Here is a 23,045-nt window from a genome sequence, read left to right on the forward strand (position 1 = left end):
AAATGCTTAATCACATGGGGATTTTAATATAGTTCTCTGAGTATTTTACCCTTCAAGTAAATAGAAAATAAGTAAGAATATTTACATTGATTAAGGGAGTGAAAAGCTTAATTTAATAGAGGACGTTGTCCCATATCATATGAAAGAACCAAGTTCTTTGGCAAAAAGAAATCATTACTAAATTCCCAAAACCAAAGATTATCAGTCTCTTGTTTCTGACCATAGTCCATTAAGGCCAGAAGTCAATCACAAACAAAAGTGACCAAAGGAAATAAACCACCTGGAAATTTATTCAGAAAAATAACATTAAGCCCCTCTTCTCGAGCTTTATTAGTTCTTCTGTGGCCAAACAGGCATGTAAGTATATGGTTATATGACTCCTTTCCACAGGGGCTGATAGAGAGTGAAAATGAACCCTAAGAGAAACAAGACTGAGGTGGATCCTGGGTGACAGCTGGATGCGAAGTTTGCTCTGTGTGTTGGGCATTCACAGAAGTGACTGTACTCTTTCCAGGATGCCCATGTCAGAAGTAGCATTCCCATGACCCTTCACCTACCCTGGGAAGGGGGCATTTCAGGCCCTGTTATAAGCATCCTTTCCCCAACTCTCCTGCCTGCTAGTCACTCTTCCTCTCTTTACCTCAGTGCTCCCATCTGTAAAATAAGGAAGTCTGACCTATTTTATTTCAAAGAGCCTGATGTTATACATTGTCTAAAAATGGGTTTACTACAATGTGTTTAACAGATTTAAGATTTTTTAATGTGTTAAAAATATGTGTATAAGAAAAGAATATTAAAATATTAATATTATTAAAAGAATACTAAAATATTCTTTTCTGAGCCCCCTAAGTTTAAGCCCCTGGCTCTGGAAACAAGGAGTTTTCAGTTGGTTCTGATGCTATGTGACGAGTGTTAGGATAGAATGGGAGGGGATATTGAGCAGAGATCCCAACACTCCCATAGGAAGGTAGACTTCCTGGTTTGTGGATCCTCTCTGTATATACTTCCATGACAGTTTTACCTTTTCTTCCATTCTTCTGCCTCCCCTCAGTGTATCTAGAACAGAGCTCTGAGTGGGGAATAATCAGTTAATGCTACTGGGCAAAGGACCAATGTCCCTTTATACTTCTCTTTGCCTATGACTCATGCCCTGGACCCCGCCCCATGGAAGCAAATAAAAACCTGAGTCCAGAGCCCCATTGCAGGATGTTCTCAACTCCTGGATCTGCCACATCCTTCTCAAAGACCATAAAATTCTTGCTACTGGCTCTTACTGTATTTTTGGTCCTGTTCAGATGTTCCCAGGTAAACAGAACCAAGGAAGAAGGGAAAAAGAGCTAGCATGGGGAAGTGTCCATGGAAGGCTTAATATCTTTTCCTTCATTGAGATAGGGTTTTTGGGGATGGTTGATTAGGCTTGAATTTATTAGAGTGCTTTCCTCCTAGGACAAACCTAAGGCCCCATATTGGGAATGTGTATCTGGCCAGGATCCCTGGAACCATAAAATAGGGCACGGTGTCTTATGAGAAGTCCTTTTCATACTCAGCTATAACCTCAGCATCCCAAATTGCACATGGTGCTTTGCTCCAATGTCCCAGTGACCCAACTGAGGGGCTGCCTGACTTCAGCTGTCTTTCTAATCTCTACGAAATCATGAGTCCTGAGGCCTTTCTTGGACATTAAGTTCTATTATCACTTCATATAAAGTTCCTGTACTCCTATTCTGGGATAAAAGTATCTGCAGACCAGCTATGTGGACGAAAGTACAGGCCCTTCTGCTCCTTTCCAACCATAAAAGTCTGTGATTTTTGTTAATGATTTCCAGTAAGATTTCACAAACAAATGGCCAGAGTTTTGAAACTACTGCTTATGAAGGCCTGAATAATTTTTAGACAAGGTACCATTCTCCTCTTCTGTCTGACACTTAAAACCTTTTTTCTATGCATATATAAATCCACATAAATATATATGTACCTGTACTTCTTTTTTAACCAAAAAAGGTAACTATACTTTGCTCTAAAATTTTTAAAATTCAGCAATATATTCTAGACATCTTCCTTGTCAGCACATAAAATTTTGCCTCATTGCTTCTGGAAATTACATGTTATTCCATCATATGGATAGATCCTAATTTATATACATCTAATCTCTATTGAGTGTAAAATGAAATATTTCCAGATCTTTGATAAAACAAACAAAACTGCTACTGACCTTTTGCATATATATATATATATATATATATATATATATATATATACACACACACACACTTTTTTTTTTTTTTGAGATGGAGTCTCACTCTGTCGCCCAGGCTGGAGTGCAGTGGCGTGATCTTGGCTCACTGCAATCCCTGCCTCCTGGGTTCACACCATTCTCCTGCCTCAGCCTCCCGAATAGCTGGGACTACAGGTGCCTACCACCACGCCCAGCTAATTTTTTGTATTTTTAGTAGAGACGGGGTTTCACCGTGTTAGCCAGAATGGTCTTGATCTCCTGACCTTGTGATCCGCCCACCTCGGGCTTCCAAAGTGCTGGGATTACAGGCATGAGCCACCGTGCCTGGCCTTGCACATATATTTTTATATACTTGGGTAAAAATGTCTAAACAAGTTCCTAGAAGTCAATTTGCTAGGTCGGGTAAGTGTATCATTTTGTTTTTAATGAGCACCTTTTCTAAGTCTCCTTGGGTCATACATGACTGGATGAAATCACTTGGCTTCTAGGACAAAAAAGTAAAAGCTTTAGAAAACTCAAATTAACTTTTTCATGCAAACCTAGAAAAATTTGGGTTGTGGCAACTTCTCAACTGTAACACTGGTGTGAAAGAAAAACTAAATACTTTAAATAGTGAAGAAAATGAACTTTTAACCTAGAACTTTATATCCATCTACACTGCTACTTAAATATAGGAGCATAATAAAAAATATTATCAAGCGTAGGAGGACTCAGAATGCTTGCCACATAAAGACTGGAGGAAAAACTCAAATAAAAAGAGAAACAAATTGTACCACTGCCCTCCAGCCTGGGCAACAGAGTGAGACCCTGTCTCAAAAAAAAAAAAGAAAGAAAACTGGAGTGGCAATCTTAATATGTGACAGAGAAGAATTCACAGCAAAATGTATAATAAATGACAAAGAGATGGTTTACATACTGATAAAGAAATATTTGAGGTTGAGCACAGTGACTCACTCCTGTAATCCCAGCACTTTGGGAAGCCCAGACGGGAGGATGACATGAAGCCTGGAGTTGGAGGCCAGCCTGGGCAACATAGTGAGACCTGCATCTCTACAAAAAAAGTTTTAATTAGCTGGCCATGGTGGTGCATACCTATAGTCCTAGCTACTTGGGAAGCTGAGGCAAGAGCTCAGGAGGTCAGGGCTACAGAGAGTGAGCCATGATCATGCTACCACTACACTCCAGCCTGAGCAACAGAATGAGACCTTGTCTCTAAAAGATTATTATTATTATCATTTGTTATTATTGAGCTACAAGAACATATTAGCAACTATAATTTCAGCTTTCAAATTTACAAAACAACAAATGACAGCACTTCATGGATAAGTCAACAATAGTATTTAGAGATCTTCAACTCAAATGTTAACACTTGATTGAGAGCAACACATTGAAGGTCTAGCCAATATATTCAATAAGTTTGAATGTATTGAATATATATTTATATCTGGACATTTCTGTGCTCAACAGAGAGTAAGCATTCTTTTGAGCACATATAAAAATTTGCAAAAATGTCCCACATTTTAGACCACAAAGAAAACTTCATTAAAGAATAGCATGCCAAAAAAAAAGAACAGCATACAGATTGTATTCCCCTACATAATAAATAAAATTAGAAATTAACACTAAAAGAATGGCAAAGAACTCATATTTAGAAACTAACACATTAGTCTACAGACATACCACCCTAAATGCAACAATCTTGTCTGATCTCAGAAGCTAAGCAGGGTCAGGCCTTGTTGGGACTTGGATGGGAGAAACTAACACATTAGTAAATAAACTTTTCCCTACCTAAGAAATCACATTTACTAACAAGCAAGTCACGTGGATGAACCAAGAACAAAATGGTGAGGTAGACCCCCTGACTGTAATAAGAGGGCATCATAAAGTTACACAGCAAAGGGCATGGATCCCAGAAGGGATAAAAAATTGGAGCCTTTTTTACAGTCAGTCTACTACATGGTATTAGAAGTCAGGACAGCATTACCTCGGAGGGGAAGAGGAACATTAATGACTGGAAGAGGTCATGAAGAGGTTTTGTAATCCTTGTTACCTGAGTAGTTTTTTCTAAGATGATTCATCCAGCTGTATACCAATAATTAGTGTACATTTCTGGAAGTATGTTCTACTTCCGTTTAAACTCAATTTTTAAAACTCGTGCATAGATTTGTTACATATAGTGTCTAGATGTATACTTTACATAACCTTATCCAGATTTCCTTCAGCTGTTCTTCTTCTATCCTTTTTTTCAGCATTCAAGCTGATTCTTCTATATCCTTTGGTCATTTAGCATGATATGTGGTATCACTGAAGTTACACAGGGTAGCAAATTTCAGCCATTGTTAGTTAAGCACTGAATCCAGTTCCTAAAGGGTTCCCAAAAATCCTTTGGGAACTATTAAGATTAATAATACAACATCAAGGCATGATGAAATGGACAATGATATCAGATGCATTTCCCAACTTATTTTTCTTTTTTCATTAAAGTATGTGGCATTAGAAAAACTATTCAGATTCATTTAGCAATCAATAGCCAGATTTTGTTGTTGGATATCTAAGTGATGGTGGTTCTAAAAGTAAAAATTGTCAGTTGCCTGTACTCTATCCCATGAGACTTGGTAAATTCTATGACTTACCTATACGTTTTCTGTAAAATGACCAAATGCCTTTTACAAGCATTTCTCAAAAATAAAAGCAAGCAGATTTCCATCCACCTTGGAGATGTTACATCTTTAAGCTAAATGTTCCTAAAATTAATATGGAACCATGAAAGACCTTGAATAGCAAAAGCAATCTTGAGCAAAAAGAACAAAGCTGATCACATCACACTACCTGACTTCAAAACATACTACAAAGTTATAGCAACCAAAACAACATAGTATTGGCATCAAAACAGACACATAGACCAGCAGAACAAAATAGAAAACCTAGAAGTAAATTCACACAACTACAGCTAACTGATTTTAAACTAAGGTGCCAGGTACACACAATGGGGAAAGTATAGCCTCTTCAATAAGTGGTGCTGGGAAAACTGGATATCCACATGCAGAAGGATGAAACCAGACTCTTTTTTCTAATCATATACAAGTATTAACTCAAAATGGATTAAAGGCTTAAATGTAAGACCCAAAACTATGGGAAGAAACATGGGGGAAAAGCTCCACAATATTGGTCTAGGCAAGGATTTTTTGTATAAAACCTCAAAAGCACAGGCAACAAAAGCTTGTCTAATCACATATAGACAAATGGGATTACATTAAACCAAAAAGCTTCTGCGTAGCAAAGAAAACAACTAACAGAGCAAAGAGACAACCTACAGAATGGAGAATGTATTTATAAACCACACATCTGAAAAGGGACTAACATTCAAAACATGCAAGGAACTCAACAACAACCAAAAAAAACCCAATTTTAAAATGGGCAAAAAACCTGAATAGATATCTCTCAAAATAAGACATACAAATGGCCAACAGATATATGAAAAAAAAATGCTCAACATCACTAAGCATAAGGGTAATGTAGATCAAAACTACAACGAGATATCACCTCACTCCATTCAGAATGACTACTGTAAAAAAAAAAAGGATAGCAAGTGTTGGTGAGGATGTGGTGAAAAGGGAACACTCACATACTGCTAGTGAGGATGTAAATTAGTACAGACATTATGGAAAATGGTTTGGAGGTTCCTCAAAAAATTAACAATATAATTATTATATGATCCAGCAATCCCACTACTGAGTATATATCCAAAGGAAATGAAATCAGTGTGTCAAAGAGATATGTGCACTCATGTTTGTTACGGCACTATTCACAATAGCCAAGACATAGAATCAACCTCAGTGTCCACCAGCAAATGAATGAATAAAGAAAATGTGACATATATACGCAATGGAATATTATCCAGCCATAAAAAAAAATGAAATCTTGTCATTTGCGGCAACGTGGATGAACCTAGAAGACATTACGTTAAGTGAAATAAGCCAAGCACAGAAAAAGAAATACCATGTGATTGCACTCATATGTGGACTCTAAAAAGTTGTTCTTATAGAAGTAGAGAGTAGAATAGTGGTTAACAGAGGATGGGGAAGGCAGAACAAAGGGAAGAAGGTGAGAAACGGGTCAGTAAGTATAAAACTACAGTTAGATAGGAAGAATAAGTTCTGGTGGTCTATTGCATAGTAATATGACCAGAGTTGACAATAATATATTGTATATTTCAAAATAGATAGAAGAGAGGTGTTTGGATATTCTCATCACAAAGCAATGATAAATGTTTAAGATAATGGATATGCTAATTTCCCTAATTTTATCATTATACAATTTATATATATATTGGAACATCACATTGTATTCCATAAATATGTACAATTATTAAGTGTTAATTATAAACTTAAAAAATGGTTGTCGCCTCTTAAGAATTTATTAGTGTGTGGATATTCTGGCTAAGATATAAACTTTTCTATAGTACAGTGGTTCTCCCGACCACCAGCATCAGCATCACCTGGAAACCTGTTAAAAGTGCAAATTTTTAAGCCCATTACAGATCTACTGAATCAGAAACTCTGAGGGCTGGCCCAGAAACCTGTTTTAGCAAGCCCCTGGGGGAGACTGTGGTGTATGCTTAATTGTGAGAACCAGCAAATAATCTACTACAACTATGGTTCTGAGATCTCTAGTTAAAACACCGATTTTCTTCCATTTGCTGCCTCATGGAGCAATTGTTTTTTAAAACACTTTGTTGAAATATGACTGATATTCAAAAGCTGTACATATTTAATGCATACAAGTTGATGAATTTGGAGATAAGTCTACACCTGTGAAACCATCATCACCACAATCTATGGTATAAACCCGTCCTTCACCCCTAAAAGTTTCCTCCTGCCTAGCGCAATCATTTTTAAGACATTTTAAGTGACAATTGTGGACCCAATTTCAGTTGAAATTCCTATACTTGTGGTATGGGAAATGTAAACAATTCAGCTGAGGTGGAATTAAATTAGCTTCCTTGGCCAGGCGCAGTGGCTCACACCTACAATCCCAGCACTCTGGGAGGCCGAGGCGAGCGGATCACCTGAGGTCAGGAGTTCAAGACCAGCCTGGGCAACATGGTGAAACCCCATCTCTACAAAAAATTAGCTGGGCATGGTGGCATGCACCTATAATCCCAGCTACTCAGGAGGCTGAGGCAGAAGAATCGCTTCAACTGGGGAGGCGGAGGTTGCAGTGAGCCGAGATCATGCCACCGCACTCCAGCCTGGGTGACAGACTGAGACTCCATCTCGAAAAAATAAAAAATAATAAAAAATAAAAATCAGCCTGCTTTATACAACTAATTTCACATAATCTTGCCAAATAACCCCAGTTTCTGCTATCTAGCAAGTTCCTTGGACATTGATGGTAAAATGCTTAGAAATATGATATATACCAAACCTGGCTTTGTTTACATAATTTTCCTTAATGAATTCTCTTCAGTCTGCAGGATCGTTGTGAAGATTACAGATACAGTGGCTCTCATTGTTATGACTATGAGCATCAATATCTTGAATTAATTACCTTTCTTTACTCTTTTCAGTCTGCAGGAGCCAAAAATCTTGCTGGATCATAAAAGGACACTGCAGGAAAAACTGCAAACCTGGTGAACAGGTTAAAAAGCCATGTAAAAATGGTGACTATTGCTGCATTCCAAGCAACACAGATTCTTAACCACAGAGACCATCCCCAATCACCTACCGCAAAAACCCAAACTTTTGGTAATAATTTTGGAAATAACCAAATGTATCAGTAATAATCATTATGGACCACAAGAATTTAGAGTGAAGCAGAAAAAACCGGGGGATTTCTCGGATAAGGGATTGTCAACTATTCGAGTCTCTCTTTCATGGGTCCATTAAAGCACATGACCTCCTGTCTGCTGTTACTCATCTCTGTTCTCACAGGGCTGGATTAAGACCTTGAGCTGCTCATGGCACTGAAAATATCATGGTGTCCCATCCCCACCAATATTTAATTCTAAACAAAAACAATGATAAACTAATTAAATAGAAGGAAATCCCGAAGACTTTCAGTATTTTCCATGAAAAATACTCTCTTGTTCCTTTCAGATAAATAAATTGGATTGGGGGGGGGGGAATGATGAGAAATCGAGCCAAAAGGCAAAGGAAGCTATCAATAAAACATAACTGCTGGGGCAGTGGCTCACGCCTGTAATCCCAGCACTTTGGAAGGCTGAGGCGGGCAGATCACGAGGTCAGGAGATTGAGACCATCCTGGCTAACACAGTGAAACCCCGTATCTACTAAAAATACAAAAAAATTAGCCGGGCATGGTGGCGGGCGCCTGTAGTCCCAGCTACTCGGGAGGCTGAGGCAGGAGAATGGCGTGAACCTGGGAGGCGGAGCTTGCAGTGAGCCAAGATAGCGCCACTGCACTCCAGCCTGGGGGACAGAGCTGTCTCAAAAAAAGAAAGAAAGAAAGAAAGAAAACATAACTATGAGGGTTTTAAGAAGGTGACCTTAGCCATGCAGTGACAGGATGAGTACAGAAGCCAAATTTTAGTAAGATGAATTTGGGGGAAGAAGAAAGAAAATTGATAAACCTCTAGCTAGATTAATCAGGAAAAATTTACTGGTGATGTTCATCCTGAACCTAGAAGCAAAAGTTCTAAACAAAATTTTAGCAAATCAAATCCAATAAAATATAAAAATAATAATACATCATGACCAAAAAATACATCCTGCATAATACATAATCCTTCATGCCTCAGAAGTGGAAGGTCGGTTTAACATTCAAAAATCAAGCAATGTTGTAGCATTATTCACAATAGCCAAGACATGGAATCAACCTAAGTGTCCAACAGCAGATGAATGGGTAAAGAAAATGTGGTACATGTACACAAGGGAATACTGTTCAGCCTTTAGAAAGAAGGAAATCCTCTCATTTGCAACAACATGGATAAACTTGAACCTGGGGGACATTATGTTAAGTGAAATAAGCCAGGCACAGAAAAATAAATGATCTCACTTACATGTGAAATCTAAAAAAGTCAAACTCATAGAAGCAGAGAGTAGAATGATGGTTACTAGGACTGGGGGGTGGGGAGAATTGGGGAAATGTTGGTCAAAGGATACAAAATTGCATAGACAGGACGAATAAGTTCAAGAGATCTATTGTACAACATTGTGACTATCATTAATAACAACAAATTATATACTTGGAAATTGATAAGAGAGTAGATTTTAAGTGTTCTTACCACAAAAAAAGATACATATGTGATAATGCATATGTTAATAAGCTGGATTTAGCCATTTCACAATGTATACATATTAATATTTCAAAACATCATGTTGTATGCTCTAATATATACAATGTTTATCCATTAAAATAAATTTAAAAAGTAAAGTTATTCGTGTTTCAAGTGAAAGAAAAAAGGGACCAAGGCAGGAGAATCACTCCAGGCCAAGAGTTCAAGAGCACCCTGGGCAACCTCCATCTCTACAAAATTTTTTTAAAGAAGAAAATCAAGCAATGTAATTCACTGTATTAATGAAGCAAAAAAGAAAAATCATGTAGTCACCTCAGTAGACACAGAAAATTGGAAGTTGACAATTCCAATAATCTATTTCTGGTAAAAATAAAACTAAAATAGAAGGGAACCTTTTCCACCTGAAAAGGAACATATAAGAAAAGCCTACAGCTAACATCACACTAAATAGGAAAAGACATAATACTTTTTCCTGAAGAATGTCTGGTCTCACCACAGCTATTCAACACTGACTGCAATAAGGCAAGAAAAAGAAATCAAAGGCATCAAGACTCAGGGGCTGAGGGAAGTAGTAAAACTCTATTAACAGATGACATAATTCTCTACATAGAAAATCCCAGGCCAGGTGTGGTGACTCACCCTCGTAATCCCAGCAATCTGGGAAGTGAAGGCAGGCAGATCACGAGGTCAGGAGATGCAGACCATCCTGGCTAACACGGTGAAACCCCATCTCTACTAAAAATACAAAAAAATTAGCTGGGCGTGGTGGCACGCTCCTGTAGTCCCAACTACTCGGGAGGCTGAGGCAGGAGAATCGCTTGAACCCAGGAGGTGGAGGTTACAGTGAGCCAAGATCGTGCCACTGCACCCCAGCCTGGGCGACAGAGCAAAACTCTATCTCAAAAATAAACAAATAAATAAATAAAATAAAAATTAGAAAATCCCACTGAGTGTAGGAGAAAGCTACTAGAACAAATAGGTGAGTTTGGCAAAGTTGTAGCCTACAAGTTCGATATACAAAATCAGTTGTATTTCTATATGTCAGCAATAAACAATCTGAAATTAAGTTTTCAAAATAATAATTTATAATAGCACCGAAAATATGGAATACCTAAGGGAAAATCTGACAAAAAGTAAGTAAGCAAGGCCTGTTTATTAAAAACTATAAAACATTGTGGAGTGCAATTTAAGAAGACCTAAGTAAGTGGAAAGAAATATCATTTTTATGGACTGGAAAACTCAATATTGTGAAGACATCAGTTTTCTCCAAATTGGTCTATAGATTCAATGCAATTGCCATTAATATGCCACTAAGATTTTATGCAGAAATTGACAAACATTTTTAAATTTATATGAAAATGCAAATGATATAGTATAGCCAAAACAACTTTACATGTGGAAAGATTTTCAAAATCATTATTAATTAAGGAATTAAAAATTAAGATCAGCCAGGTGCGGTGGCTTACGCCTGTCATCCCAGCACTTTGGGAGTCCGAGGTGGGCAGATCACCGGAGGTCAGGAGTCAGAGACCAGCCTGGCCAATATGGTGAAACCCCATCTCTACTAAAAATACAAAAATTAGTCGGACATGGTAGTGGGTGCCTGTAATCCCACCTACTTGGGAGCTGAGACAGAAGAATTACTTGAACCCAGGAGGTGGAGGTTCCAGTGAGCCGAGATCATGCCACTGCACTCCAGCCTGGGCAACAGAGCAAGACTCTGTCTCAAAAAAAAAAAAAAAAAAATTAAAACCACAATGAGATGCTGTATTAGTCTGTTCTCACACTCACTGTTATGAAGAAATACCCGAGACTGGGTAATTTATAAAAGAAAGAGGTTTAATTGACTCACAGTTCTGCATTGCTGGGGAGGCCTCAGGAAATTTACAATCATGGCAGAGGCAAAGGAGAAGCAGGCACCTTCTTCACAGGGCGGCAAGACGGAGTGAGTGCAAGCAGGGAAAATGCCAGATGCTTATAAAACTCAGATCTCGTGAGACTCACTCAGTATCACGAGAACAGCATGGGGGAAACTGCCCCCATGATCTGATTACCTCCACCTGGTCCCACCCTTGACACGTGGGGATTATAATTCAAGATGAGATTTTGGGTGAGAACACAGACAAACCCCTGGCCCCTGGTCCCTCCCAAATCTCATGTTCTCACTTTTCAAAACATGATCATGCCTTTCCAACAGTCCCCAAAAGTCTTAGCTCATTCCAGCGTTAATTAAAAGTCCAAGTCCAAAGTCTCATCTGAGACAAGGCAAGTCACTTCTGCCCATGAGCCTGTAAAATTGAAAGCAAGTTAGTTACTTCCTAGATGCAATGAGGGTACAGGCATTGGGTAAATACACCTGTTTCAAATGGGAGAAATTGTCCAAAACAAAGGGGCTACAGACCCCATGCAAGTCTGAAATCCAACAGGGGAGTCATTGTACCTTAAAGTTCCAAAATAATCTCCTTTGACTCCATGTCTCACATCCAGGCCATGCGGATGCAAGAGGTGGGCCCCCACGGCCGGGCGCAGTGGCTCACGCCTGTAATCCCAGGACTTTGGGAGGCCAAGGCGGGCGAATCACGAGGTCAGGAGATCGAGACCATCCTGGCTAACATGGTGAAACCCCGTCTCCACTAAAACTACAAAAAATTAGCCAGGCATGATGGCGGGCGCTTGTAGTCCCAGCTACTCGGGAGGCTGAGGCAGGAGAATGACGTGAACCCGGGAGGCGGAGCTTGCAGTGAGCCGAGATTGTGCCACTGCACTCCAGCCTGGGGCGACAGAGCAAGACTCCGTATCAAAAAAAAAAAAAAAAAAAGAGGTGGGCCCCCCACAGCCTTGGACAGATACCACTGTACAACTACTAGAATGACTAAAATTAAAAAGACTGACTATACCAAGTACTGGTGAGGATATGAAGGAACTGAAACCCTTATACATTGAGAATGCAAAATGATACAACCACTTTGGAAAACCGCTTCCTAATATGTTAAAGAGTTTCCTAATATGTTAAAGTTATGGAATACCCCCTATCTCTCTGGGAAACCATGCCTGCCATGCAATCCAGCCAATCTACTCCTAGGTATTTTTCTCACAAGACCAAAAATCATATGTGCATACAAAGACTTGTACATGAATGTTCATAGCATCCTCATTTGTGATAGTCAAAACTGGAAACAAGTCAAATGTCCGAATGGATAAACTGTGATTTACTCATACAATGGAATACTACTCAGCAATAAAAGGAGTAAACTGGTGAAACATGTTACATGGCTGAATCTCAAATAATGCCAGTGACTTATAGAAACCAGATAAAAAAAAAAGAGTACCTACTCTATGGTTACACTTATATAAAATTCTGGTGAATGCAAACTAATGTATAGTTATATCTACAAAATAGATCAGAGGTCTTCTGGGGGAGGCAGGAGGGAGGGATTCCTAAGGGACATGAAGAATGTTTGGGGGTAGTAGAAATGTTCAGTTTCTTGATTGTGATGAAAGTTTCATGAGTATATACGTGCCAAAATTATCAAATTACGTACTTTAAACACTGGAAGTTTGTTGTTTGTTAATTATATCTCAATAAAGCAGTTAAAAAAAAAAATAAGAACTTGGCCGGACATGGTGGCTCACGCCTGTAATCCCAGCACTTTGGAGAAAATATAATGGGAATTTAAATCACATAGGGTCTTGCAGGCCTTTGAAAGAAAGCCATTCAGAACCTTTGATCACAGGATGATAAGAGAAATGCAGATTAAAACAACAGTATGAGGGAGGCTGAAGCGGGCGGATCACTTGAGGTCAGGAATTGGAGACCAACCTGGTCAACATGGCAAAACCCCGTCTTTACTAAAAATAAAAAAATTAGCCGGGCATGGTAGCGTGCACCTGTAGTCTCAGCTACTTCGGAGGCTGAGGCAGGAGAATCGCTCAAACCCGGGAGGCGGAGGTTGCAGTGAGCTGAGATCTCACCACTGCACTCCAGCCTGGGTGACAGAGTGAGACGCTGTCTCTTAAAAAAGAAGAAGAAGAAGGAAAACAGCTTTCAGCATAATAAAAATCTAATAAGTAAACAGCAATGGAAAGTTCAGGTATATTTCTTAATGGATATGGACTGCATTTATCCCTTGACAAGAGTGGCTGGCTGTGGGCAGTGGACCAGGGACTCGCGGGACACCATGGACTACATGGACTACACCCACCTAGCTTCTCCCCTGTGATGAGTCCTTCCGCTTCAGGCCTTTTTTTTTTTTTTTTTTTTACAGCCCTTCTCCATTCCCACCACCACCACTACCGTCTCAGATATGAGATCAGGCTCTGTGAATTGGGTTAGGGGTAATCCAGATTTTCCTGCTTTTCTGTAGCAAGAGCGAAAAAAGGTGTTTCTCAAGTTCTTCAGTTTAGAAAGGGTCAGGGATCTCTGCACTTATCAGGACATGTAGAGAAACCATTCATAAAATTAAGAACATAGATTTGTATGCTTAGAAGGAACTAGAAAAGACATTCTTTATTCTATATAGAAATCCATCCTATTTAATCACTTAGACCCTGCTTGAAAAATGAGTTATAGAGTACCCCCTCCCTCTCTGGGAAACAATTCCATAGTAAGAGAGTTCTGCCTGTTAGAACATACTAATCTAAAATTAATTTGGAGGCCAGGTGCAGTGGCCCATGCCTGTAATTCCAGCACTTTGGGAGGCCAAGGAGGGAGGACCACTTGAACCCAGGAGTTTGAGACTAGCCTGGGCAACATAGTAAGACCTGTCTCTCCCAAAAAAATTTTTTTAAATATTCGGGCATGGTGGTGAATACCTGGGCAGTCCCAGCTACTCAGGAGGCTGAGGTGGGAGGATTGCTTGAGCTCAGGAGCTTGAGGCTGCAATGAGCTGTGATCGCACCACTGCACCCTAGCCTGGGCTACAGAGCGAGATCCTGTCTCAAAAAAATAAAAACATAAAACAAAATTAATTTGAAAATAGCCCACCACCATGCTACGCTTTCCACATGGTTCCATCCAGAAGAGAAGTCTCCTCAATCACATGGCAACCCTGCTAATTCCCATCAATTATTCTCACAGTGAAAGTTATCAATTCCAGAAGAGAAAAATCAGCAACCTCCTCTGTAAAAGCTTTACAGAGACTTTTAGAGCCGAGTAAACAAGAGGGAGCAAAAGTTGAAACACGATGAAAATGCAACTAAAGCAATGCAGGACCTAGGCTGACTCTGGGGGTGACATCGAGGTTCCACATCCCAAAGGCAAGTCTAAATGTTGGGGTCTTCATGGACAGCTCCCAGACCTCTGATGACCCTCATGGTGCCGTTGTCAAAGGTAACATCCCAAATTATTGTAGATCTGTCTTCAGCAGGGATTTTTTTTTTTTTTTTTGAGACAGAGTCTCACTCTGTTGCCCAGGCTGGAGTGCAGTGGTGCGATCTCAGCTCACTGCAACTTCCACCTCCTGGGTTTAAGCGATTCTCCTGACTCAGCCTCCTGAGTAGCTTGGATTACAGGCACCCACCACCACACCCAGCTAGGGAATTTTTTTTTTAATGACATTGGGTAGCATCCCCCTTTGAGTCTTATAAATGATCTCCCTCAAACTTCTGCAGCAAGTGACTTCTTGGGCAAGTCATTTTCCCTGTTGGGCACATATGTAAGAGAGGGATTTGGCTTATAGATTGACATGTGTTCATTATCGTTTATTTCCACAAACCTTCACTGAGAGCATGCTTCGTGCCTTGGGGGCTCAAAAATGAAAGACACGTTCCCTACTCTCAGGAATTTCACAGGCTGGTGCGGGGAGACACACAGATAAGTAGACCATTCAAAAGTAGGTTTATGCTAGAGTGAGAGGGGCTGTGAAGAAGGGCTGAGCCCTAATGAGAGATCGGGGAAAGCTAGGGAAGATGTCCCAGTGTGAATCTTCCCTCTCCATTGCTCCAAACACCTCCTCAAAACCTGTGACTTGTAACCCTCTGCATGCCCTCCCAGTGCCTGGATCAAATGCTCAGCTTATGTGCCACACACTAGACTGATGTTATGCATGGATAAGCTCTTAGATATCCGGCTGGTTCTGTGCCCATCCCTCTGCCCCCACTGCAGAGAGGCCAATAAAACTCTTGTTCAGACTCACACTGCACACAGTATTCTGAACTCCTGGATCTACCACCTCCTGCTTCCCAAGGACCATGAAACTCCTGCTGCTGGCTCTTCCTATGCTTGTGCTCCTACCCCAAGTGATCCCAGGTAATCAGAGGTCAGGGAAGATACAAAAATAGAGGTATAGTGGGTTCTGGCTCATGAAAATTCCAATGTGTCACGGTACTCCCCAACATGGGCAGCTCCACAGTTCCCACACTGGGACTATGCTCCTGGCTGGGGTAAAACCTGGGAGTAGAGCAAGTTATCCTCAATAGACAGGGGCAGTCCCACCATCCAGAGTTGTCCTTGGTTCTATATTCCAAGTTGCCGCCTAAGAAACTAGGGGAAAGCTCGGCTCACATCTGTTCTCTTTCCAGATTGTGCCAGCTTTTGAAAATGATTCCTGCAGCCCACTTTGCTATGTTTTCTTGGCCCTAAAAGTCCTGCTATAGCTATAATGAGGTTCTTTTTGTTTTCTAATATTCTAGAATTTGGTGAACAAGTCAGAAAACACTGGTAGAGCTGTTACACGGAAGACAGAACTGGCTTTTCTTCTTCCTTCTACAGTGAAAATCTAAGCTTTTCATAATCACTGCTTTCTTAAGTATATCTAAAGGCATGACCAGAACTTTGAAATCACTGGTGAAGAGAGCCTGTTTCTCCTTTATGTTTTTCAAGGTGCATTTCAATGTATGATCGAACTTACATAAAAATGAATCTAAATATTTCTGTTTTATAACGAAGTAAGCACACTCCCTGCATGGCTATGCAGCACTCTTGTGTTTTTTTTTTTTTTTTTTTTTGAAGATGGAATCTCAATCTGTCACCCAGGCTGGAGTGCAGTGGCGCAATCTCAGCTCACTGCAACCTCTGCCTCCTGGGTTCAAGCAATTCTCCTGCCTCAGCCTCCCAAGCAGCTGGGATTACAGGCATGCACCATCATGTCCGACTAATTTTTGTATTTTTAGTAGAGATGGGGTTTCACCATGTTGGCAAGGCTGGTCTCAAACTCTTGACCTCGGGTGATCCATCCGCCTCGGTCTCCCAAAGTGCTGGGATTACAGGCATGAGCCACCGCACCCGGCCCTATGCAGCACTCTTCTTTCACTTATTATTTTGTGGCCATCTTTCCATGTCACCATCTAAAGATCTGCCTTATTGTTTGTAAAGTTGTATAGTTCTGCTGTAGGATAAGCCATATAAAGTCATATATAGCCATTTGAGACATTTCTTAATTTTCGAACAAGACATCAATGAATATGCTTGTACAAACATTAATATATTTACATATATGGATATGGGCTTAAATAGGATAGATTCCTAGAGGGCAAATAACCAAGTTAAATGTAAGTCTGGTGGGGGTGGGCAAGAAAATTAAAAATATATATTTGTTCCATTAATTCCTCTATTCCTCTGCCCTCATTGCAGAGAGGCCAATAACTCTTGTTCAGACTCCCACTGCACACAGCGTTCTGAACGCCTGGGTCTACCCTGGCGTTCAGGGTAGGGAAACAGGGAAACCTCTCCTGTTTCCCAGGGACCATGAAACTCCTGCTGCTGGCTCTTCCTATGCTTGTGTTCCTACCCCAAGGGATTCTGGGTAACCAGAAGTCAGTAATCAGAAGTTGTGTATCTTAAAGGACACTGCCAGCAGAAATTGCCAACTCTGGGGGTTTTTAGTAATTCTTCAGTTACAATTCCAGACACAAACAGGAATAATTCTGTGTGATCACTTTGAAAGCAATTGTGTCTGCTTTGAGTGCTAGTGGAGATATTGAGACTAGGAAAGAGACAGATGTGAAAGATTTTGTACATGAAATCCACAAGTTATAAAAACTCAGCATATGGGAAGTGAAGGAAATATTACATGATCTGGGGTTTCAAGTCTGAGTGTTAAGAGTGATAAATTGGAGCCATCCTCTTGGAGCAAAGAGTTAAGATAATGAAAGAAGCATAAAGTCTTGATGCTTTATCTTAAAAAGCCCCTACATTTGGGGAAGAAGAATAGAAATCAGTGACATTTATAGGAACAGAGATATCTCCCTACCCTCTCACCGAAAATACACAAGGGTTTTTCTATCACCATAATCCTTCAAACACCCAGCTGATGAGTATAAAATAACCTCTTACTGTTGTGGTTGCTTTTTTGTATTTGTTTCTGTTTTGAAACAGAGTCTCGCTCTGTTGCCCAGGCTGGTGTGCAATGGCGCGATCTCAGCTTGCTGCAACCTCTGCCTCGGGGGTTCAAGCGATTCCCCTGCCTCAGCCTCCCGAGTAGCTGGAATTACAGGCACGCACAACCAAGCCTGGCTACTTTTTGTATTTTTAGTAGAGATGGGGTTTCAGCACATTGGCCAGGCTAGTTTCAAACTCCGGACCTCAAGTGATCCACTCGCCTCAGCCTCCCTCGTGCTGTTGTTTTAATCTGCATTTCTCTCATCATCCTGTGATCAAAAGTTCTGAATGGCTTTCTTTCAAAGACCTGCAAGATTCTATGTGATCTCAACTCCCATTATATTTTCTCCAGTTACTCTCCACTTAACTTACTCTATACTCACCATAACTACCTTATTGTTTTTCAGAACCTTTGAGACAGGTCCTGCCTCTAAGCCTTTGCACTTGCTGCTTCCTCTGCCTGATATATACTCTGCCCCCAGTTAGTCTCGTAGCTCGCCCTCTCTCTTCCTTCTCAAACCTCAAGGGAAGTCTTTCACTATTTCCCTTCTAATCACACACTTCCTAAACCCCTTCCCTGCTTCGTTTCTCTCCATAATGCTTATCTTTTTTTTGTATTTTCATAATGCTTATAGTATGTATCCCACATAAAGTATGTTTTACTTTCTTCTCTTATTATCTACTTTTTTTCTTTTTCTTTTTTTTCTTTTTTGAGACAGTCTCGCTCTGTTGCCCAGGCTGAAGTGCAGTGGCACGATCTCAACTCACTGCAGCCTCCGTCTCCCAGGTTCAAGTGTTTCTCCTGTCTCAGCCTCCTGAGTAGCTGTGACAATAGGCATGCGCCACCACGCCTGGCTAATTTTTGTATTTTTGGACATATGCTTATTTTATACTTTGGTTTATAATTTTTTATTTTTTTAATTTCAATAGCTTTAGGGGTACAAGTGGATTTTGGTTACATGGATGAATTGTATAGTGGTGAAGTCTAAGATTTTAGTGCACCCATCACTGGAGTAGTGTACATTATACCCAATAGGTAGTTTTTCATCCCTCCCCCTCCTCTTACTCTTCCCCCTTCTGAGTCTCCAATGTCCATTATACCACTCTGTACGCCCTTGTGTACCCATAGCTTAGGTCCCACTTATAAGTGAGAACATGTGGTATTTGTTTTTCAATTCCTGAGTTACTTCACTTAAAATAATGGCCTCCAGTTCCATCCAAGTTGCTGCAAAAGACATTATTTTGTTCCTTTTTATGGATGAGTAGTAATCCATGGTGTATATATACCACATTTTCTTTATTCACTCATCAGTTGATAGGCACTTAGGTTGATTCCATACCTTTGCAGTTGCGAATTGTGCTGCAATAAACATACACTACACAGATATATTTTATATACTCATGTGAATGTATACTTTGCAGTAGAATGGGATATGACCAATGCAAATAACTTAATCACACTTGTTGAAGTAGCAACAAGATGTACTTTCTGGCCGGGTGCTGTGGCTCACACCTGTAATCCCAGCACTTTGGGAGGCCGAAGTGGGTGGATCATGAGGTCAAGAGATCGAGACCATCCTGACCAACATGATGAAACCCCATCTGACTAAAAATACAAAAATTAGCTGGGTGTGGTGGCGCGTGCCTGTAGTCCCAGCTACTCAGGAGGCTGAGGCAAGAGAATCGCTTGAACCAGGGAGGCGGAGGTTGCAGTGAGCTGAGATCATGCCACTGCACTCCAGCCTGGTGACAGAGTGAGACTCCATCTAAAAAAAAAGATGTACTTTCTTTACTCAGGTACCTTTACTCACAGGGTACAGGTAGCTTCATTATAAGTGGCCCCAATTCCTCATGACTAAAGTTTCTTTTCATTGATCGTAAGATTCATCCCACTTTCAGAATAGTTAAAAATTGACAAATGGGAGGTTGAGTATTTGCCAGACCTGAGGTGGGAGTCTTGCAGCTGTCATCTAATTATGATCCACAGTGTGGATATAGGATGCGAGATATACAGTCATGCTAGTGAAATTGAGAGCATCAGTAACCCAAAATCAATGGTCTTTCCTTTTATTATTCAGCCTATAGTGGTGAAAAAAAATGCTGGAACAGATCAGGGCACTGCAGGAAACAATGCAAAGATGGAGAAGCAGTGAAAGATACATGCAAAAATCTTCGAGCTTGCTGCATTCCATCCAATGAAGACCACAGGCGAGTTCCTGCGACATCTCCCACACCCTTGAGTGACTCAACACCAGGAATTATTGATGATATTTTAACAGTAAGGTTCACGACAGACTACTTTGAAGTAAGCAGCAAGAAAGATATGGTTGAAGAGTCTGAGGCGGGAAGGGGAACTGAGACCTCTCTTCCAAATGTTCACCATAGCTCATGACTTCCTCTCGGCTATCACTCACCCCTGTCCTCAGAGTGATAAACTAAGTCACATACAGATAAAGCACTGAAAACACCACAGTGACCCTCCCACCCCCCACCAATATGTAATTCTATTAATAGAAACAGCTGTGTAAAGAAGTCTAAAATTTTCACTATTTCCAATGATAAACTCTTCAGTGCTCTTCTTGAAATGTCACATTATTTCCACAACAAGTTATAACCTATTTTTAGTATTTCTTGTTTGCTAGTGACCTATGCACAACTTCAATAGCTTAGTTAGCTATTCCAACAACAATTTCTTCATGTATCGTTCTGTCTTCTCAACAGCTGTCTTCATGGCAGCATAAGTGGTCATGATCAAAATTCTAAATCTTTGCATCTGTGAGAGTAGCTACTATGACACTAAAAGCTTTTTTTCTAGAACAGGAGACACTTCAGGTGAAAGCATTCATTCTCCTACTAACTATGGCCTTGGAGCCAGGTTTTATCTCTCACTGTAGGAAATTGGCCGCCCCAGGTGTGAGCTATGAAGACTCCTTTTTGCCCCAGTGGCTTTGGGGTTGAAATGCTGTCGAAAAGCTTTTATGGCTCTGTAGACCCATCTTTTTGACCAAGCCTTGATCACACATGGACATCCAAGGGTAATCATGGACCCCCAATTGTGGGTGAAAGGATGGATCATTTATCTACCTGATTACTGAGAGCTTTATTTGTCTCCCTCTGATAGCAAAAAAAAAAAAAAAAAAAAAAATCTTCACATCCTATCCCATCCACATAACTCTACAACAGACTTCATTTTACAAATTTTCCAATCTTGCTCTTTCCAAGTACCTAAACAACCAGCCAATCTATTACCAGCGTTCATGAATTACTATAGATCCATACCAAGCCTTCCTTCTACTGGAAGGTTTTCCCTTAACCACTGTCTTTTGGGCCACTGCCATATCATGCTGTAATGCAGCACTTCTGTCTGGTGCTAGCATGTCATGCAGACCATTCCACAAACCTGGCCTTGCTTTTTCCTCCTTTATTAAGTAACCATAGGAACCCCTCATGATACCATTAGTGTGTGATGAAGAAGAGGCAATAAAGCAGGAATGGGTGCCATAGGCATCTGAACCACCTGCTTCTGCAGTTTATGCTTGCCAGACCTGCTAAGTTCCAATTTTGAACATATTACTTTCAACTAACATTGGAATTCTTCTTCACAGGTCTAATTGTATTATTCAAGGGGTTAGATAATACCTAATTCATGACGGGAAATTTCTGTCTCATTATTTTTTTAAACTTGTTATTCCTGATAATTCTGAAATTTGAAGTCTTTGAAAGTCTGAATCTCTAGACTGATTTCTGCTGACCTTAATTCATGGTGCCTTATTTCCTTGTGTGTTTTGTGATTTGGGGCTCTGCTCTGTTTATTTTCCTCAGAAGTTTAGTTGAGTAAACTAGTTGAGTCCTGAGTTAAAGGTCTACTCCTTTGTTTTCTTCTGTCTTTTTGGCACTACTAGTCTGGGACAACTTTAAACTTGATTTTTTTTTTCATACGACCCATGTACTGTGAATTCAGGCTGAGAGACTTTATGAGATCTACCTTGAGGTTATAAATTCTCAGTGAAGATTTTTTTTCTATTTACTGAATACTTAGGTTCATAATCAGGCAATTTTCCTTGAAAACCTCTGGTGAAGGAAAAGGAATGTTTTATGTATCTGCTTTATTTTTACACAGCATACATAACACTTTAAGGACTGAGATTTATATAGGGGTCTCCTATTAGACTCGCATATTTTTTCAGACCCTAGTCACTGCCTTCTCTCCCCTGCTTACCCCCACCTTGGCCAAAGCCATGGAAACCAAAACTCAAGTTCACCTGATTCAGCAAGTACCTTTGTGACAAAAGCTAGCGTCAGTTACTGCCTGTGAAAGAGTGCCCACTTGCACTTGGTTTTAATATTCTTTTTTTTCTTTTTTTCTTTTTTTATTTATTTTTATTTTTTGAGACAGAGTCTCAATCTGTCGCCCAGGCTAGAGGACAGTGGCGCAATCTCGGCTCACAGCAACCTCCGCCTCCCAGGTTCAAGCGATTCTACTGCCTCAGCCTCCTGAGTAGCTGGGATTGCCAGTGCACGCCACCATGCCTGGCTAATTTTGGTATTTTTAGTAGAAACAGGGTTTCATCATGTTGGTCAGGCTGGTCTCGAACTCCTGACCTCGTGATCCACCCGCCTTGGCCTCCCAAAGTGCTGGGATTACAGGTGTGAGCCACCGCACCCAGACGGTTTTGATATTCTTGGCCTTACTTTCTTGCAAGGTTAAAGATGCTTTAAAAGTTTTGTTGTATATTTTAAGTAAGTTTTTTTCACTGTTTTCAGTGGGAGGATCAGCCTGGGTTCCTCAACCAGTATTCTTCCTGAAACAGAGGTCCAGAACCAACACTTTTGTCCAGATCATAAACCTTGTTGTTGGGATGGGTGGCAGCACCAGAGGAAGGAGAAAAAAAGATCATTGTCAAAGGATGAAACTATCACTCAGTGTCTAAAACCAAAATGCTGAAATGATTGCTTTCTTAAGAACAGGAAAGCCATGCTGGTCCATCATAAGCTCCTTCACCAGAGTGAAGTGTTGAACTTACACAGCATTTGGGGAACACATTTTGAGGGAGTTGTGTTGGTTACAGAGGTGGGAATTGGTTAATGACAATTTAGAAGTGTGTACACTGAAATGAATTCAAAGCTGATTGGCATAATCAAAGCATAAGGCTGTCACTGACAATGAGCTTTCAGAAGTGTGTTCACTGAAGCAAGTTGTCGTTGATCAATGAAAAAAGTTTAAAACAGTTCAA

The 23,045-nt window shown here is 40.3% G+C and overlaps 1 protein-coding gene and 2 pseudogenes across 1 annotated transcript; all 3 read left to right on the plus strand.

Annotated features, from left to right (window-relative positions):
- Positions 3,903 to 4,011, plus strand: RNA5SP480 (RNA, 5S ribosomal pseudogene 480; annotated as a pseudogene).
- Positions 7,808 to 7,936, plus strand: DEFB117 (defensin beta 117 (pseudogene); annotated as a pseudogene).
- On the plus strand, positions 15,634 to 20,956 carry DEFB118 (defensin beta 118). Its single transcript, NM_054112.3, has 2 exons — positions 15,634 to 15,741; positions 19,890 to 20,956. Exons 1-2 carry the CDS (start codon positions 15,684 to 15,686, stop codon positions 20,201 to 20,203), a joined length of 372 nt encoding a protein of 123 aa, NP_473453.1. The 5' UTR covers positions 15,634 to 15,683; the 3' UTR covers positions 20,204 to 20,956.
- Positions 20,957 to 23,045: the final 2,089 nt, after the last annotated feature.

The sequence above is a fragment of the Homo sapiens genome, chromosome 20 (genome assembly GCF_000001405.40).
Source record: "Homo sapiens chromosome 20, GRCh38.p14 Primary Assembly".
Classification (NCBI taxonomy): domain Eukaryota; kingdom Metazoa; phylum Chordata; class Mammalia; order Primates; family Hominidae; genus Homo; species Homo sapiens.

Excerpts from the sequence above, each read along its gene's own strand:
- DEFB118 (NM_054112.3), top strand. The coding sequence starts at position 15,684 with ATGAAACTCCTGCTGCTGGCTCTTCCTATGCTTGTGCTCCTACCCCAA. Across the intron at positions 15,742-19,889 it reads CCTACCCCAAGTGATCCCAG|CCTATAGTGGTGAAAAAAAA; the intron begins GTAATCAGAGGT and ends TTTATTATTCAG.